Source organism: Homo sapiens, chromosome 9, assembly GCF_000001405.40.
Source record: "Homo sapiens chromosome 9, GRCh38.p14 Primary Assembly".
Taxonomy (NCBI): domain Eukaryota; kingdom Metazoa; phylum Chordata; class Mammalia; order Primates; family Hominidae; genus Homo; species Homo sapiens.
This window is the reverse complement of record NC_000009.12, coordinates 95,862,778-95,878,994: the sequence shown is the minus strand read 5'-3', so window position 1 is coordinate 95,878,994 and position 16,217 is coordinate 95,862,778. Positions and strand designations below refer to the sequence as shown.

General features: G+C 38.4%; 1 protein-coding gene and 1 long non-coding RNA gene across 16 annotated transcripts in view, besides 6 other annotated features; one reads left to right on the top strand and one right to left on the bottom strand.

Annotated features, from left to right (window-relative positions):
- ERCC6L2 (ERCC excision repair 6 like 2) overlaps window positions 1-3,304 on the bottom strand; it is a 165,402-nt gene extending 162,098 nt beyond the window's left edge. For all 14 annotated transcript variants that reach the window (NR_164677.1, NM_001375291.1, XM_047423357.1 and 11 more), the window contains exon 1: window positions 2,911-3,304. Coding sequence is in view for 13 of the 14 variants with exons in the window: in XM_047423357.1 (XP_047279313.1) it covers window positions 2,911-2,989 (79 nt within the window). In the remaining variant the exon portion in view is untranslated. The remainder of the gene's footprint in view (window positions 1-2,910) is intronic.
- Window positions 2,575-3,449: an enhancer, noted in NCBI's record as "H3K27ac hESC enhancer chr9:98637828-98638702 (GRCh37/hg19 assembly coordinates)". NCBI's record gives its function as "activates a minimal SCP1, AML or CMV promoter by ChIP-STARR-seq in primed H9 embryonic stem cells {active_cell/tissue: H9 hESC(primed)}" and the evidence as "EXISTENCE:reporter gene assay evidence [ECO:0000049][PMID:30033119]".
- Window positions 3,018-16,217, top strand: part of ERCC6L2-AS1 (ERCC6L2 antisense RNA 1) — a 69,890-nt gene continuing 56,690 nt past the window's right edge. Inside the window, exons 1-3 of one of the 2 annotated variants that reach the window (NR_023389.1) lie at window positions 3,018-4,015; window positions 4,373-4,486; window positions 8,554-8,711. This is a non-coding gene — a long non-coding RNA (ERCC6L2 antisense RNA 1). Of the gene's footprint in view, window positions 4,016-4,372; window positions 4,487-8,553; window positions 8,712-16,217 lie in introns of those variants that run through there. The other variant, NR_023390.1, reaches the window with a different exon arrangement.
- Window positions 3,094-3,153: an enhancer, noted in NCBI's record as "active region_28647". NCBI's record gives its function as "activates an Ori minimal core promoter by ATAC-STARR-seq in GM12878 lymphoblastoid cells {active_cell/tissue: GM12878}" and the evidence as "EXISTENCE:reporter gene assay evidence [ECO:0000049][PMID:35858748]".
- Window positions 3,214-3,443: an enhancer, noted in NCBI's record as "active region_28646". NCBI's record gives its function as "activates an Ori minimal core promoter by ATAC-STARR-seq in GM12878 lymphoblastoid cells {active_cell/tissue: GM12878}" and the evidence as "EXISTENCE:reporter gene assay evidence [ECO:0000049][PMID:35858748]".
- Window positions 3,584-3,683: an enhancer, noted in NCBI's record as "active region_28645". NCBI's record gives its function as "activates an Ori minimal core promoter by ATAC-STARR-seq in GM12878 lymphoblastoid cells {active_cell/tissue: GM12878}" and the evidence as "EXISTENCE:reporter gene assay evidence [ECO:0000049][PMID:35858748]".
- Window positions 3,724-3,773: an enhancer, noted in NCBI's record as "active region_28644". NCBI's record gives its function as "activates an Ori minimal core promoter by ATAC-STARR-seq in GM12878 lymphoblastoid cells {active_cell/tissue: GM12878}" and the evidence as "EXISTENCE:reporter gene assay evidence [ECO:0000049][PMID:35858748]".
- Window positions 4,004-4,133: an enhancer, noted in NCBI's record as "active region_28643". NCBI's record gives its function as "activates an Ori minimal core promoter by ATAC-STARR-seq in GM12878 lymphoblastoid cells {active_cell/tissue: GM12878}" and the evidence as "EXISTENCE:reporter gene assay evidence [ECO:0000049][PMID:35858748]".

Here is a 16,217-nt window from a genome sequence, read left to right as displayed (position 1 = left end):
TCATGCTGCTATAAAGACACATGCACACGTATGTTTATTGCGGCACTATTCACAATAGCAGACTTGGAACCAACCCAAATGTCCAACAATGATAGACTGGATTAAGAAAATGTGGCACATATACACCATGGAATACTATGCAGCCATAAAAAATGATGAGTTCATGTCCTTTGTAGGGACATGGATGAAACTGGAAATCATCATTCTCAGTAAACTATCGCAAGAACAAAAAACCAAACACCGCAGATTCTCACTCATAGGTGGGAATTGAACAATGAGAACACATGGACACAGGAAGGGGAACATCACACTCTGGGGACTGTTGTGGGGTGGGGGGAAGGGGGGAGGGATAGCTTTAGGAGATATACCTAATGCTAAATGACAAGTTAATGGGTGCAGCACACCAGCATGGCACATGTATACATATGTAACTAACCTGCACATTGTGCACACGTACCCTAAAACTTAAAGTATAATAAAAAAAAAAGCTGGCATTTAAAAAAAAACAAAAAACTGGCATCATCATCTAACCAACTTTTCAAGGTAGAAAACCATTAGTCAGCCCTTAAACCTCATTTAATATTACTCCTTACATCCAATCCATCAGAATATCCTGGTTCTACTTCAAAAATGAATCACTTTCCTCCATGCCACTATCTCTCTAAAGCAAAGGCTGGCAAACATTTTCTCTAGAGTCAGTTATTAGCTATTTGTTACTTTAGATTTTGTAGGCCATACAGTCTCTTGCCCTTGTAATGCAAAAGCAACCAGACAATACATAAACAAATGGGCACAGTTGTGTTCCAATAAAACTTTATTTACAAAAAAAAGTGTCAGACCAGTTTTAGCCCACAGGCAGTAGTTTGCAGACCTCTGTCTTAAAGCATGCCACCATCAACTTTCCCTAAATTATGCCTAACCAGTCTCTCTGCTCCCAGTCCACCTATTTAGCGTAGGGTACCCATTATTCTCTATCTCATCATTTTATTGCCTCTGTAGCACTTATCATAACATTTAATTATCATGTCCACTGGTTTTTTGTCTTTTCCTTCCAGTAGAGAGTAATTTCCTTTCCAAGAAAAGTTTGTACTGTTATAAATTTTATCCCCAGGACCAACACAGAGTCACACAGCAGACATTCAGTGAACATGCGAATTTATTACACATTCTTTTTTTTTTCTTTTTTTTTTTAGACAAGAGTGTCTCTGTCGCCCAGTCTGGAGTGTCATGGCACAATTATAGCTCACTGTAAACTCCAACTCCTGAGCTCAGCCATCCTCCCGCCTCAGCCTCCTGAGTAGCTGGGACTACAGGTGTGCACCACCATGCCTGGCTAAATTTTTTATTTTTAGTAGAGACAGGGTCTCGCTTATGTTGTCCAGGCTGGCCTCAAACTATCCTCCCGCCTAAGCTTCCCCAAAGTACTGGGATTACAGGTGTGAGCCATGCGCCTGGCCTATTACAAATTATCAATCTCACAAATCCTTGATATCTTGCGAGAAAACTAAAAAGTACACCAACATATACATAACTGTAAAAACTGCATTGGAAGAAGAGTGCTATGAGAAGGGAGTATTGAGAAATGTAATTTAAAAGGGAAAGGGGTCTAAGAACTGTATCTCAGATAAGTGTACAGCATGTGCAAAAAAAAAAAAGCCTTAAGGGAATCACACAACTTATTGGAGTATTTTGGGTTTGAGTTCGGATAATTTCTAGGACGAAATAAATTCAGTTGAGTTAGAAATGGAATCTCTCAGTATCCAAACTACAGAACAACTGCTTAAATTGTTAAGATTTCCTGTTGGATTTAACAGGGAAATGGGTTAAGTGTCCTAAAATTTAATGAGTCGAAATCATTTGTTTTGGTTTAAACTAATTACCAACTCAACTCATTCTGGTGATAGGGTCTCTCTCTCCCTCTTTCACTCCAAAGGCCTCCTCAAGCATTCCTCAAGGGTGTTCCCACCTCGGGGCCCTGGAGCTTTCTGCTCCTTCCACCAATTTCCCTAAATACCAAGAGTGACTAGATTTATCAAAAGGAATGAGCCTCCCAGTCACAATATCCACTCGGCAGCTTCATCTATTTTTAGCTGCCAGTCTCCTATAGGTATTTATATGTTTGGTCCCTGAATTACAGCGTCATCAATTCCTAGACCTCAGAATTCAGGCTTGTAACTTGCCCTCTCTGAACTTTAGCTCTGAATTCATCTATTTAATGAGATCGATATCTTCCTCAAAGGAAAGCAAGTAAACAATCAGCATATTGCTGGGCTCAGGAAAATCACTCAATACCTGGTAGCTTTTGTTATACAGCACAATTATTAATGAAAACTACTCATTTGGGTGCCAGAAGGCATCCCAGGTGACTTGTGGTAGATAATCACACCTTCTTTAAACCTCCTATTTAAGGCAGAATATAATGCCCTGACTCAATAGGCAATAAAACTCAACTGAACTAAATATCTCAACCTTCATTTATCTACTTACAACAAACTTCTGCCATTCACTAACAACTGGGGCATACAAGAATAAAGAATGAAAATAACATTTACTGAGTGCTTAATATGGGCCACACGCGGGGTCACATAAATACTTTGCGTATTCCCCACGTCATTTAATAATCGCAAGAACCTAGTAATGAACCCAGTTTTACAGATGAGGAGCCTGCCCAAAGTTGCTCAGCAAGTAACTGTCAGAGGCAGCACTAGATCCCAGGGGCTGACTCCCGAGTCCAGGTTCTCAACACTGAATCGGAGATTTGGTTCCAGGCCTGGAGGGGTTCACAATCTGCAGCTGTCACTGAAGAGGATCTACAGGGCAAAACCCCAACCCGAAGGGCACCGGCAAGAACTGGTCCAACGCGACGCAGTACACAGGCCTCTGCGTAAGGGGCGAGCGCGGAGCTGGTACCTTTGCCTGAGGTTTCCGCGCGGGGCTGTGGCGCCGACGGATCCATCCGGCCAGGGGGAGGGGCCGAGCCCGGCTGCATGTAACACCCGGAAGGCGGCGGAGGACAGCAAGGTGGCTGGCCGGCAGGCCAATGGCGGCCAACGCCACTTCCGGCCGCCCTCCGAGCATCGCTCTTCGGCAACCCGAAGCCACAGGATGGAGGAGGGGGATCCCAGCAAAGGTAGCGACTAAGGGGACCCAAGCAGAACGGGAGGGCGACGTCCGGAGCGGCGGCAGAGCCAGGGGACGCTGTGTGAGGCTGGCAAAGCGGTGTTCACCTAGTTCTCTCGGGCTCCGCCGCCGCCGGAGGAGGACAGGAGGCCGGCAAGGCGACCCCCAAATCTTCCTAGGCTCTGACTTCCGTCTCCTAACCCCCGCAAATTCCAACCCGGTCTTGGAAAATCCCGCGAGAACGGGCTCCCGAATTGTCATTGGGATCTCGCGAGAACGAAATCTTCCTTTCTGTGGGCGGAGCAATCTTCCCGATGTCTCTTCCCTCTGAGGCCAGTAGCAGGAAGGGCCTCGGGAGTTGCGAGTGTCGCGAGGTTTGAGGTCGCTCGGTGGGCCGGGCGCTGTGCGAAGCTAGAAATAACTGGGGGCATGGAGAATGCGGTGGCTGTAAAGGGCCGCTGAGGCGGTGGAGGCCTGGCAGAGAGCGTCCCCGCGGTCGCGGCTTCTGGCTTCTCTGTGGAGCTTGGTTCTTCCGTGGTGGTGCAGCACCCCAGGAACTTCAGGAACCAGTCCTTCCTTGGAGAGCTCCCCGGGACAGCCACGGGGGCCAAGTGAAACTAGCGCGTTTTCTTGGATCCTACACTTTATAGTGAGTCATAAATACTTTAAATACAAAGCCAACAACATTTGCTGCAAATAAACGTAAAAATACTGTTAAAGTGTAAAGTGTTTTCCTCCGTACCATCTGACGTTTCTGGCGGTTCGTTGAACGCGAGAGAACGCTGAGCCGTCTGCACTGAGCCCGGGAGCATCTTCAGGGCAGCGCCGCCCACGCGCGAGGTGAATGAAGGACACGGCCTCTTGACACTCCCAGGCAGCACAGATAGACGGATCCGTAAGTGGCTCCCGCGCATGTTAAAATTTGTATACTGTAAGGTATTTCATGGATTGAGTGAAATACCTGACAGGGCCTGTATCCGTTCCCTATTGCCACAATAACCAAAAACCACAAACTTTGTAGCTTGAAACAGCACAAATTTATCATCTGACAGACAATGCATTTATTATCTCACGGTTCTGTAGATCAGAAGTGCTACCTGGGTGTCACCCGGGCTGCACTCCTTTCTGGTGACTCCACAGGACAATCCTTAGCTTGCCTTTGCCAGCTTCTGTCCACATTCCTTGGCTTTGGTCCCTTCCTCCATCTTCAAAGCCAGTGATATGCCATCTCTCTGAACCTTCCATCCTCAAGTCTACCGCTGATTGCAGCTGGAAAAGATTCTGAGGGCTCACCTGAGTAATCCAGGATCATCTTCCCATTTCCAGGTCTCTGCCCTTGATCACATCAGCAGAATCCTTTTGCCATGTAAGCTAATATATTCACGAATTCCGGAAATTAGGAGATAAACATCTTTGGGGGATCATTATTCTGCCTACAGTAGTGTCTTAAGAAAACAATATGGCTGTTTGCAAATAGATCTCAATTCTATGGCAGATACTAAAAACTAGTAGTATGTGTTCATAAAATGCTTCATTTAAAATATGACTTGTTTGCTTACCAGCAGGCAATAACTTTAAGCCTAAGTGAAACATCTAACTCAGCCATCTATGTGTGAGTTGTTGGCCAGATCACTTCTCCGTGTTTTATTGTACTCACCTATCACCATTACAGTGAAGCTAATAATAGTAAACTACCTAAAAATGGTAATTGTAAAAAATTAGATAATTAAGTAAAACTCCTAAAACAGTAGCTGGTCATAGTAAGGAATATATGTGTTGTTATTACTATTATTATCAATGGAATGCATCCACTTGAAAGTTGCATTCTACATAGCCATTATGTCAGTTTAATATTTTGGCTAATAGGCCGGGCGCGGTTGGCTCATGCCTGTAATCCCAGCACTCTGGGAGGCCAAGGTGAGCGGATCATGAGGTCAAGAGATCAAGACCATCCTGGCCAATATGGTGAAACCCCGTCTCTAATAAAAATACAAAAATTAGCTGGGCGTAGTGGCACATGCCTGTAGTCCCAGCTACTCAGGAGGCTGAGGCAGGAGAATCGCTTGAACCCGGGAGGTCTATAGAGGTTGCAGTGAGCCGAGTTTGCGCCACCGCACTCTAATCTGGCGACACAGCGAAAAACACTACTAATTATAATTGTAATTCTTGATTCTGACATGCACCCTGATATTGGAAATCTTAAAATCTAGAAAAATCTGCTGCTTGTTATTGATGGATTATATCTCTTTTCACATTGTCTCTAAAATCAAAATGGCAAATTGAAATTTTAATCAAGCTTCTTTTTTTCCCCTACAACTACCAGGGAAGAAGTTTGATTTTTTTCCCCTCTCTGAAATGACTAGTTGTGTAATTTTGTCTTATTTTTCCAGAGGTCCATTGAGTTAAGATGTAGCTCTTGACAGAGCAGACCTCTTAATAGAAGTGATAAGCAAATTCAGAAATAAATTTTGATTTAAATGGGAGGTATCATCTGGTTGAAGGAATACCCTTGTGACTAACAAAAGAGGAGGATACCTCATTTTCTTTTTTTTTTTTTTTTTTTTGAGACGGAGTCTCGCTCTGTCGCCCAGGCTGGAGTGCAGTGGCGGGATCTCGGCTCACTGCAAGCTCCGCCTCCCGGGTTCACGCCATTCTCCTGCCTCAGCCTCCCAAGTAGCTGGGACTACAGGCGCCCGCCACTACGCCCGGCTAATTTTTTGTATTTTTAGTAGAGACGGGGTTTCACCGTTTTAGCCGGGATGGTCTCGATCTCCTGACCTCGTGATCCGCCCGCCTCGGCCTCCCAAAGTGCTGGGATTACAGGCGTGAGCCACCGCGCCCGGCCCTCATTTTCTGAGTGTTTATTATTTAACCTCACTGCTGTACTTACAGTGTATACTGAAGCAGAAATAATCATGACATGAAAATATGTCCTAGTGAACTAGTTGCCTCATAAAGTTAGACATTCTCAAATATTCCTTCCCCCAGTAGCTTTTGTCTTTGCATTGACATCCTTGTCTAGGTGCTGATATTGTGAACATCTAACGCTGTCAGACCAGTCACTTCAAAGTTAAACTGAATATCTTGTAAAATATTAAGGAATTCCTGTAGTTAATATGTGTGATGTTGGATAAATCACATGAATGAACTGAATCACATACAAAACTTTTGGCAAAGGAGGATCTAGCAAAAATTAAGCCAATTAAAACTACAAAAGAGAAAAAAATAACACAGATGGTGATAACACAGGCATTTCAAAACAGGCTCATGGAAGGATGATTAAACCCACCAATAATTTGCCAAAAAATAGTCTCTCTTTATCTTCACACTGCAAAAGTCAAATATATATCTGTATGTGGTTGACAGATCTCCAGAATTGTGAGTTAATCTAGCAAAAAGGCTCCAGAAAAAAATAGATATGAAACTCTAAGACAACACAAGAAATTAAGTCTTTTGAGTTTTAGTTAGATGATTTTAGGTTGCAGCATTTCTCCCTTCATACGTCGTTCCAGCCAATAAGGAAGCAAAGATGAGTGAAGGCAAGAGAAAGAAGATAAAATAGACCTGTCCTTCCTTGCCACAAATAACCTAAATCTTAAAGTTTAAAACTCAACGTTGCACAACAGTGTGAACATACTTAACACTATTAAACCGTACACTTAAAAATGGTTAAGAAGGTACATTTTATATAATATGTTCTTTCTTATCACAGTTTAAAAAGCAAAACACAACAAAAAAGCTCCGGCCAAAGAAAGGAAAATTTGAGGCTTGAATGAGGTATAGTGAAAGATATATAGAGTCAGTGTTAGAAGTATATCATGGTCCCATATAATGAATATCATTACACCTTGAATATTCACCAACACCATTTTTACTTCATAGACTCAATAAATAGACTCAAATAATAGAACATTTAATACCTCATGTCAGATAAGTATAAAAATCCTGCAACAAAACACCAAGAAATACTGGTTGAAACATGTTTATAAAAACTCTCAAAATATAAAAGCGAATGCTTATACACTGTTGATGGGAATGTAAATTAGTACAACCTCTATGGAAAACAGTATGGAGATTTCTCAAAGAACTAAAAGTAGAATTACCATTTGATGCACGAATCCCACTACTGAGTACCCAAAGGAAAATAAATCATTATATTGAAAAGACACCCACACTTGTATGTTACCACAGTAAAGTTCACAATAACAACGTCATGGAATCGATCTAAGTGTCTATCAAGAGATGACTGGATAAAGAAAATGTGGTATATAAACACCATGGAATATATTGCAGCCATAAAAAAAAAAAGAATAAAATCAGGTCTTTTGCAGCAACATGGATGGAGCTGGAGGCCATTATCCTAAGTGAAATGACTCAGAAACAGAAAATCAAATACCACGTGTTTTCACTTAAAAGTGGGCGCTAACTAATAGATACATATGGACATGCAGAAGGAAATAATAGACACAGAGGACTCCAAAAGTGGGTAGGATGGGAGAGAGGTGAGGGTTGAAAAATTATCTGTTGGGAACAACTTTCACTCTGAGTGACAGGTACACTAGAAGTGCAAACCTCACCATTATGCAATATACCCATGTAACAAACCTGTACTGTACCCTCTGAATCTATAAAATTTTAAAAATAAAAAAATCTCAATGCATAGCTGAGCTTTCAAGAAGTACGTGAAATACTCATAGATCAAAAATAAGGAAGGAACTGAAAACTAGTTATTAAGATGGCACTTATACCACTCCTTTCCTGGACACATTTGTCTGGCTCAGTTACAAAAAGGTCTGAATTTTCACAGGCTTGTGGGAGCAGAAGACATGGTCTTAAGCTCCCACAAGTTCCCACATTGAAACTGAGCCTCCCATTTGAAATCAGAAAGCTTGAAAGGTAACATCCTTAGTGAAATGGTGAGCTAGAAGAAAAAAGTCTGGATAGCAGAAAAGAAGGAGGATGAAGAGGGATTTGTCTGCCTTGGCATGGGATTTTTGAAGGGGTATTCTTAATTCCCTCTGAAATTTTGAAACCACAGCTATGCCCTCAAATTTAGGATTTGAATGTATACAATCTGCGTTACCTAAGAAACTCCAAGCCAAGATAATAGCATAATGTAGTGCCTGGTTAACTGTATCTAGGTTGCTAGAAAGAAGCATGCACATCCTGGCCTGGCCCTTGTTCCTTGTTTTTGTCTCTTTTTCCGAATCATCCCTAAAGAAGTTGGAAGCAGCTTAGAAAGTAGGAGAGGAAGGTGAGGCATAAATCATATAAAAGAAGCAATCACCCCCACATTTTCCCCTGCCAACCACTTGCCTGTACCAAGTGTGAGCTCTGAAAGGGGAAGTCTTTAAGGTTAAACAAGTGTTGAAGTCTTAATTTTTTTTATTACATGGACTTTACCAAACTGACTTTTTGTTTGTCTCTTTTTAGTGGCTAGAAGTGACCCCAGGATTTTTTTATTATCAAGAGAGACTAGAAGAATCATGAGACTTTTCCTAGTTGCCTTTCAAGAATATGAAGAAAAAAATGGTTCTCAAAGTGGGTTTGAATGAGTATTGTTCCAATAAATGAACTTATATTCATATTTCATCCCCTGAGTCCTGGTGTTTCAACATCCATTAGAACTGAATAATCATACTGCATATCAAAGTTTGTGGGAAATTGCTAAAGTGTAAAAAATGCTCATATTGAAAAAGAAGAAAAGCTGAAAATTAATTGTGCTTCCAACTTTAAAAAAGGACAACAAGCTAATCCTAAAGAAACTAGAATAAAAGGAAAAAATAAACAGAAGTTAAAGAGTAATTTTAAAAAATACAATAGAAATTATCAACGAAGCCAAAAGTTGATTCTTTGAAAAGATTAATGAAGTAGGCAAACCACTGGTGAGATGAATCAAGAAAAATAGAGAAAAGACTCAAATAAACATTAGGAATGGAAAATAGGGCAATGCTAAAGAGAATTCAAAGATCAGAAAAATATGGGAGTATACTAAAAACGATTTCATGCCCAAGTGTTCAAATCTATATTGCCTTTAAAAATATATAAAAAAGGAGCCGGACACTGGCTCATGCCTATAATCCCAGCACTTTGGAAGGCTGAGGTGGGTGAATCACAAGGTCAAGAGATCAAGACCATCCTGGCTAACACAGGGAAAACCCGTCTCTACTAAAAATACAAAAAATTAGCTGGGCGTGGTGGCACACGCTTATAGTCCCAGCTGCTCAGGAGGCTGAGGCAGGAGAATTGCTTGAACCCATGAGGCAGAGGTTGCAGCGAGCAGAGATGGCCCCACTGGACTCCAGCCTTGGCGACAGAGAGAGACTCCATCTCAAAAAAAAAAAAAAAAATCAAAAAGGAAAAGAAGCACTGAAGAAATCCATAACCGTTGGAGAAGCTTGAATCAGTAGTTGATAATGTCCCTCCAAGAAAAGACCAGATGTAAGTGACTGTACAGGAAAGTTCTGCCAAATGTCAAAGGGAATAGATAAATATCACATAAACTCTTCCAGAGAATACAAGAAAAGGAACACTCCCCAACTTATTTTATAAACTTGGTTAAATCTTGATAGCAAAATTTAATAAGGACACCATGACAAGTGAAATTATAAGCAAATTTTACTTACAGTTATATGCAAAAGTTCTAAACAAAATACTGGACAACTGAATCTAATTTTGAATAATACTAGCAAGAATAATAATAATAACAATAATAATAATAATAATGCATCATGACCAAGTTGGGTTTACCTCAAGAATGCAAATATAGTTTAAAACTGGAAAATCTAGTAGTGAAATTTACCACACTAAGAAATAAAGAAGAAAAATTATGTCATCTCAACAGATCGAAAAATTTTCTAAAATCCAACCAAATATTAGCAAAAAAGCAATAAAGGAAAATTTCTTAACTTAATAAAGAGTATCTATTCGAAACCTGCAGCAAGCATGATAGTTAATGATGAAATGTTAGACACTGTCTTTTTAAAACCATAAACACAATGATATCTGTTATCACTACTTCTACTCATCATTGATCTTAACCATTTCAATAATAAAAGATACTATATATAAATTATAGATATTGAGAAGGAAGACCAAAACTGCTACTATTCACAAACAATATTATTATTCACCTAAAAAGCAAGAGAATATGCAAGTAAATCTTTAGAATAAGAGAATTCAATATGGTTTGAGGATACAAGTGCAATTTATAAAAATCAACTGTATTTCTATACACTAGCTACACAAGTTAGAAAATATAATTTTTAAAATGTATTTTTACAGTAGCAACCAATAATATATAAGAATAGCTAATAATTATCTAAAAATGTGTGCAAGTTGCTTATAGAAGCAATAATAAAACCATATTGTAAACCTACATAAAGGAGAGATATACCATGTTCATGGTATAAAAAAAATAGATGTCAATTTTTCCAAAATTATTCATAGTGCAATTCCTTGCCAGATTACTGGCAGGTTTTTTTCCCCTGGACCTTGACAAGAGGATTGTAAAATTTATATGAAGGCGTAAAGTGCCAAGAATGATCAAAGCAATTTTGATAAAACATAAAAAAGGAACAGAGGAATAAATGGTGATGGAACTTCCCACAGAGGAGGGAAATAGGGTTGAACTTCTTATCCTATACACAAAGTTAAATTCCAGGTAAATTAAAAACAAAATGTAAAATGCAAAACTTTTAGAAAACTTTAAAATTAGAAAAAATGTAAAAACCAATCCAACAAGTTATTTTTACACATCCAAATTTTCCAGTCATCCCAGCACAGTTGTCAAATATCAAATGAGTGGCAAAGTACTAGAATGATGAAAGAAGTGGTATAATTATACCACTCATAGGACTACTTACAAAGCAGCTGCCTTCCTAGACATGCTTTTATTCTAACTCTTTAAATGAATAGGATTGTATTATATTGTTTACATGTCAAAATTTGCATGTCAATGATGCATATATGGTTATGTTCGGAGCATTCCTTTTGGCATTCTTTTGTTTTTTAATGTAAGATTTTAATTTAATGACAAATGCAAAAAATATAAACATGAAACATGAGATTTATGTCATATATGATTAACTTCTTATAAAAATAATCAGCATAAAACACTAGCATGTCCATATAAGAACATGCTACTCAGCTTTGTTAGCCTTAAATAAACAAAGGTAGGTTGTTTAAAATGTAAATGTAAATCAATAGATTAATATTGCTTTAATAAATACAACAAATGCAGACTTAATTACAATAAAATTTAAAATGCTAAAACTAATTATTGAAAGTTAAATTATAAATTGAATAAGATTTCACATAAAATATTGACATAATACTCGGACTTAATCCTTATCATTCTTCCCTCATACATATCCAAAAATGTTGTAGCATAGAGAGCTGGCTGATATAAGTTCCACAGAAAGACTTTTTCCCATCTAGAAAAATACAAAATTGTATTTTTCCAATGAATAAGCTGCAAAAATCAATTACATATTCATAATAGAATTGACCTCCTCCACCCCATAAAGATTCTAAAGTAATATGAATTACATTTGAAGGACATCAAGATAATCCCTCCCAAAATGTAGATTTACAATATTGTGTAAATCTTCATGGAAACATTACATATTTGAATCATGGTGAAATCATAGGGTGAAAAATTTTTTCTATTCTTACCATGGACTCCACTAGTGGTCTTCAGATTACATGACCTATAGGCTCCATTTCAACTCTAAAATTCTATATGATTTCTGCTGAAGATAACTTTTATCTCAGTTATTTTAGAATGCATCACCTCATCTTTGGCAACTTTCCTTGAATTGAATTTTGATTGCTTAAATTCTTCAAGCAAGGCAGACTTTTTCAAAAGAGAAGCTACATAGACATGGTTTAAATATTTTAGGTTCAAATTTTAAACCATGTCTATATACTTTGTAAAGATGATTGCCAAAGTTTTACTTTTCAAAAGTGTTCCCAAAGTAATTGACAGCTTAGGTACCATGAAACAAGGGTAAAGAGAATTCTATGGCCATTACAAGATATGCAGACTTGAATAGTGATTCTGAATGCAAATATAATCTTATACTTCATTTATAAGGATCATTTTTATCACGTTGCCCTAAATTGGAATGCAATGGCATGATCTGGGAATTGACAGTGTTTGGTTAAAAAGAAATTAACTTGAGGAATTAATTAAGACAGGGAAACATAAAAAGCATGTAAAAGGTAAGTGAGTTTATTTTTAAACTGGATACTATTTTTTTTAATATAAAGCAACTCTTTCAGGGGAACTGCTCTCTCCAATTTATGCACAGATTATTTGACAGACTGGTTGAAATATCTCACACCACTTTTGCACATTGGAAATGCAAAACCCAAAGAATTCATATTTTCAAGACTGTTAACACCTTCTCAAATTTCTATAATTCATTCAATTTCTGTAGAAAAACATGAGCTTTATTTTTCTTACTATTAATTATTTATATAGTTCAGTTTCACAGATAGGTTCTCAATATCTAAAAGCCTGCAATAATTTCACTGTCGAAAACATTTTCTTAAAGTTTTTATGCATTTACTAGTGTTGTCACAATAAGGCCTTGTATGGCTGTGAATTGTCCTTGGGCTTTTGATATTCACAACCAGGAGAGGATCTCTTTTCTTTTTCTGTCATCCTTTTTAATACTTTTCTTTCTTTTTTTTTTTTTTTTGAGACGGAGTCTTGCTCTGTCTGGAGTGCAATTGCACAGGCGCGATCTCGCCTCACTGCAAGCTCTGCCTTCCGGGTTCAAGCGATTCTCCTGCCTCGGCCTCCCGAGTAGCTGGGATTACAGGCACCCACCACCACGCCTGGCTAATTTTTTGTATTTTTAGTAGAGACGGGGTTTCACCGTGTTAGCCAGGATGGTCTCGATCTCCTGACCTTGTGATCCCCCCCACCTCAGCCTCCCAAAGTGCTGGGATTACAGGCATGAGCCACCGCGCTGGCCGTATTACTTTTCTTAAAGAAAGACTATGTCAGTTCCTAAGTCTATGGCACCTTGAAAATTTACATGCCTGTTAAAGGTGGACATTTGTACTGTATTTTTAGATGATAGTTAAGAAAAGGAGATGATGGGGGAAGTTCACACATGGTCAAATATCATTAGAAAATAATAATTCCACTAAGCAAAATAAGCCTAAGACCATAACAAAGATGAATTAAACGAAGAAAGTCCACATTCTGTCTTCCACTTTTGTTTGTGTTTTAACTTAGCATTCATTGATAAAAGAGGATATTCTTGAAGGAAAAAAGTTAAAATTACCACTTTTTTCTGCTTTTAAGTATTTTAATTATTGTGGTATGTATCACTAGTCTAAAGGAATAAAGTATAAATTTCTTGTCATCTATATTACTCCTTCAAAAACATGGTTTTTCCAAGTTGGTCACAGTTTAGCAGGGAAGAAAGGGTTGTAAACCAAGTATAGTGTGATACTATACAGTGACTCATACTGTATAAATACATACTGATGCATTTTTGACCAAGACTAGTATCTTTCAGATTTCAGATATGAGTGTATAAGCCAATGGTAATTTGCATGGTTCTTTTCCTAACTATGTATTTTTTAATATTTCTTATAACCTGTAGACCACTTACTGAAACTAACTCAGTTTAGTGTTAAATTCTATTAGATGTCTTTTTCTTATTTGTCTGCTGTAAAAAAATCCCTAGTTATTGAGACAAATTGCAAAAGAAATAATATATTTTAGAAAATCTTAGAAAAGTTGCCAGTCACCTGGGTGACGATTCAGTTATTCATTCATTCAACAAATATTTGTTTAGTACATCTGCCATATACTAAGAACACCGCTAGGCACTGAAGATAACAGCTATGAAACAGAAAAACATAGTTCCTACCCTCATAAAACCCAAAGTCATCAATGTCTCCAAAAATTTTGGCTAAAACGTGGAGAGTACACAAATTCTTACATAGTTAAATAGTACAGCTATTATTGGAATCATTTTCATACTTAGACACATTATATAGTAAAATTTAAGAATATCAAAGGCAAATTTCTAAAAGTTTTCAGAAAGAAACATCCCTTACAAATGAACAGGTAACATATTCATATTAGACACTTTAAAAACTTCTACAAAAATGACAACTGAGTTGGCCGGGCATAGTGGCTCATGCCTGTAATCCCAGCACTTTGGGAGGATGAGGCGGGTGGATCACGAAGTCAGGAGTTCGAGACCAGCCTGGCCAACGTGGTGAAAACCCACCTCTACTAAATATACAAAAATTAGCTGGGCATGGTGGCATGCACCTGTAATCTCAGCACTTTGAGAGGCCGAGGTGGGCAGATCACAAAGTCAGGAGTTCGAGACCAGCCTGGCCAACGTGGTGAAAGCCCACCTCTACTAAATATACAAAAATTAGCCGGGTGTGGTGGCGCATGCCTGTAATCTCAGCTACTCGGGAGGCTGAGGCAGGAGAATCGCTTGACCCCAGGAGGCAGAAGTTGCAGTGAGCCGAGTTTGCACCACTGCACTCCAGCCTGGGTGACAGAGTGAGACTCCATCTCAAAAAACAAAACAAAACAAAACAAAAAACTGAGATATAGTTTTTTGTTGTTGTTGTTGTTGTTGTTGTTGTTTTTGAGACAGAGTCTCGCTCTGTCACCAGGCTAGAGTGCAGTGGCGCAATCGGCTCACTGCAACCTCTGCCTCCCAGTGTCAAGCGATTCTCCTGCCTCAGCCTCCCAAGTAGCTGGGACTACAGGCGTGCACCACCATGCCCGGCTAATTTTTGTATTTTTAGTAGAGATGGGGTTACACCATGTTGGCCAGGATGGTCTCAATCCCTTGACCTCGTGATCCACCTGCCTTGGCCTCCCAAAATGCTGGGATTACAGGCGTTAGCTACCATGCCCGGCCTGAGTTATACTTTTTTAGTATTGGAGAAAAAAATCTTTGAAGCTAGAATCTTGCACTCATCCGGATTGGCATTTAAATATGAAAAGTGCAATAGAAATAATCTCAGCCGTATAAAACCTCAGAAAGGTTGCCACACAAAGACCCTATTGAAAATATTGGCTACAATAATAGTAGGAGACTTTAATACCACATTCTCAATGGCAAATATTACAAGTAGACAGAAAATAAATAAATAACACAAACAACACTGTAGACAAATTGGACTAACAGACATATAGAGAATACTATGCCCAACAACAGCAGAATATATATTTTTCTCAACTGCACAGGGAGCATTCTCCAGGGTAGACCATATGTTAGGTCACAAAACAAGCCTGAATAAATTTTAAAAGATTGAAATCATACTGTGTATCTTTCCCAATCAAAATGGAATGAAACTAGAAATCAACAGCAGAAGAAAAAAATAAAAATTCACAAATTGTGGAAAGTAAACAACACACTCTTAAACATCTAAAGGGTCAAAGAAGAAATCACAAGGGAAATTAGAAAATATCTTGAGACAAATGAAAATAAAAACAACATACTAAAACTTACAGGATGCAGTGAATGTAGTCAGAAGAAGGAAAATTATAGCTGTAAATGCTTACATTAAAAAAGAAGAAAGGTCTCAAATCAGTGCTCTAACTTTCTACCTTATGGAACTAGAAAAACAAGTACAAACTAAACCCAAGCCTAGCAAAGGGAAAAAAATAACAAAGATTAGAATAGACATGGAGAATAGAAAAATAATAGAGAAAATCAGCAAAACTGAGAGTTGGTTCTTTTAAAAGCTCAAGAAAATTGACAAACTTTTAGCTAGATTGACTAAAAGATGACTCAAGTGATTGAAATAAAAATAAAAAATTGCTGATTTTATAGAAATAAAAAGAATTATGACAGTAGCATGAACAATTGTAAACCAACAAATTAGATAACCCAGATGAAACTGACAAATTCCTAGAAACACACAGCCTACCAAAACTAAATTATAAAGAAATATAAAATATGAGTAGACCTTTTTAATGAGTAAGGCAATTGAATTAATAATCAAAAACCTCCTAACAAAGAAAAGCCTCGGAGCAGGTGTCTTCACTGGTGAATTCTACCAAAAATTCAAAGAAAGATTAATGCCAGTCCTTCTCA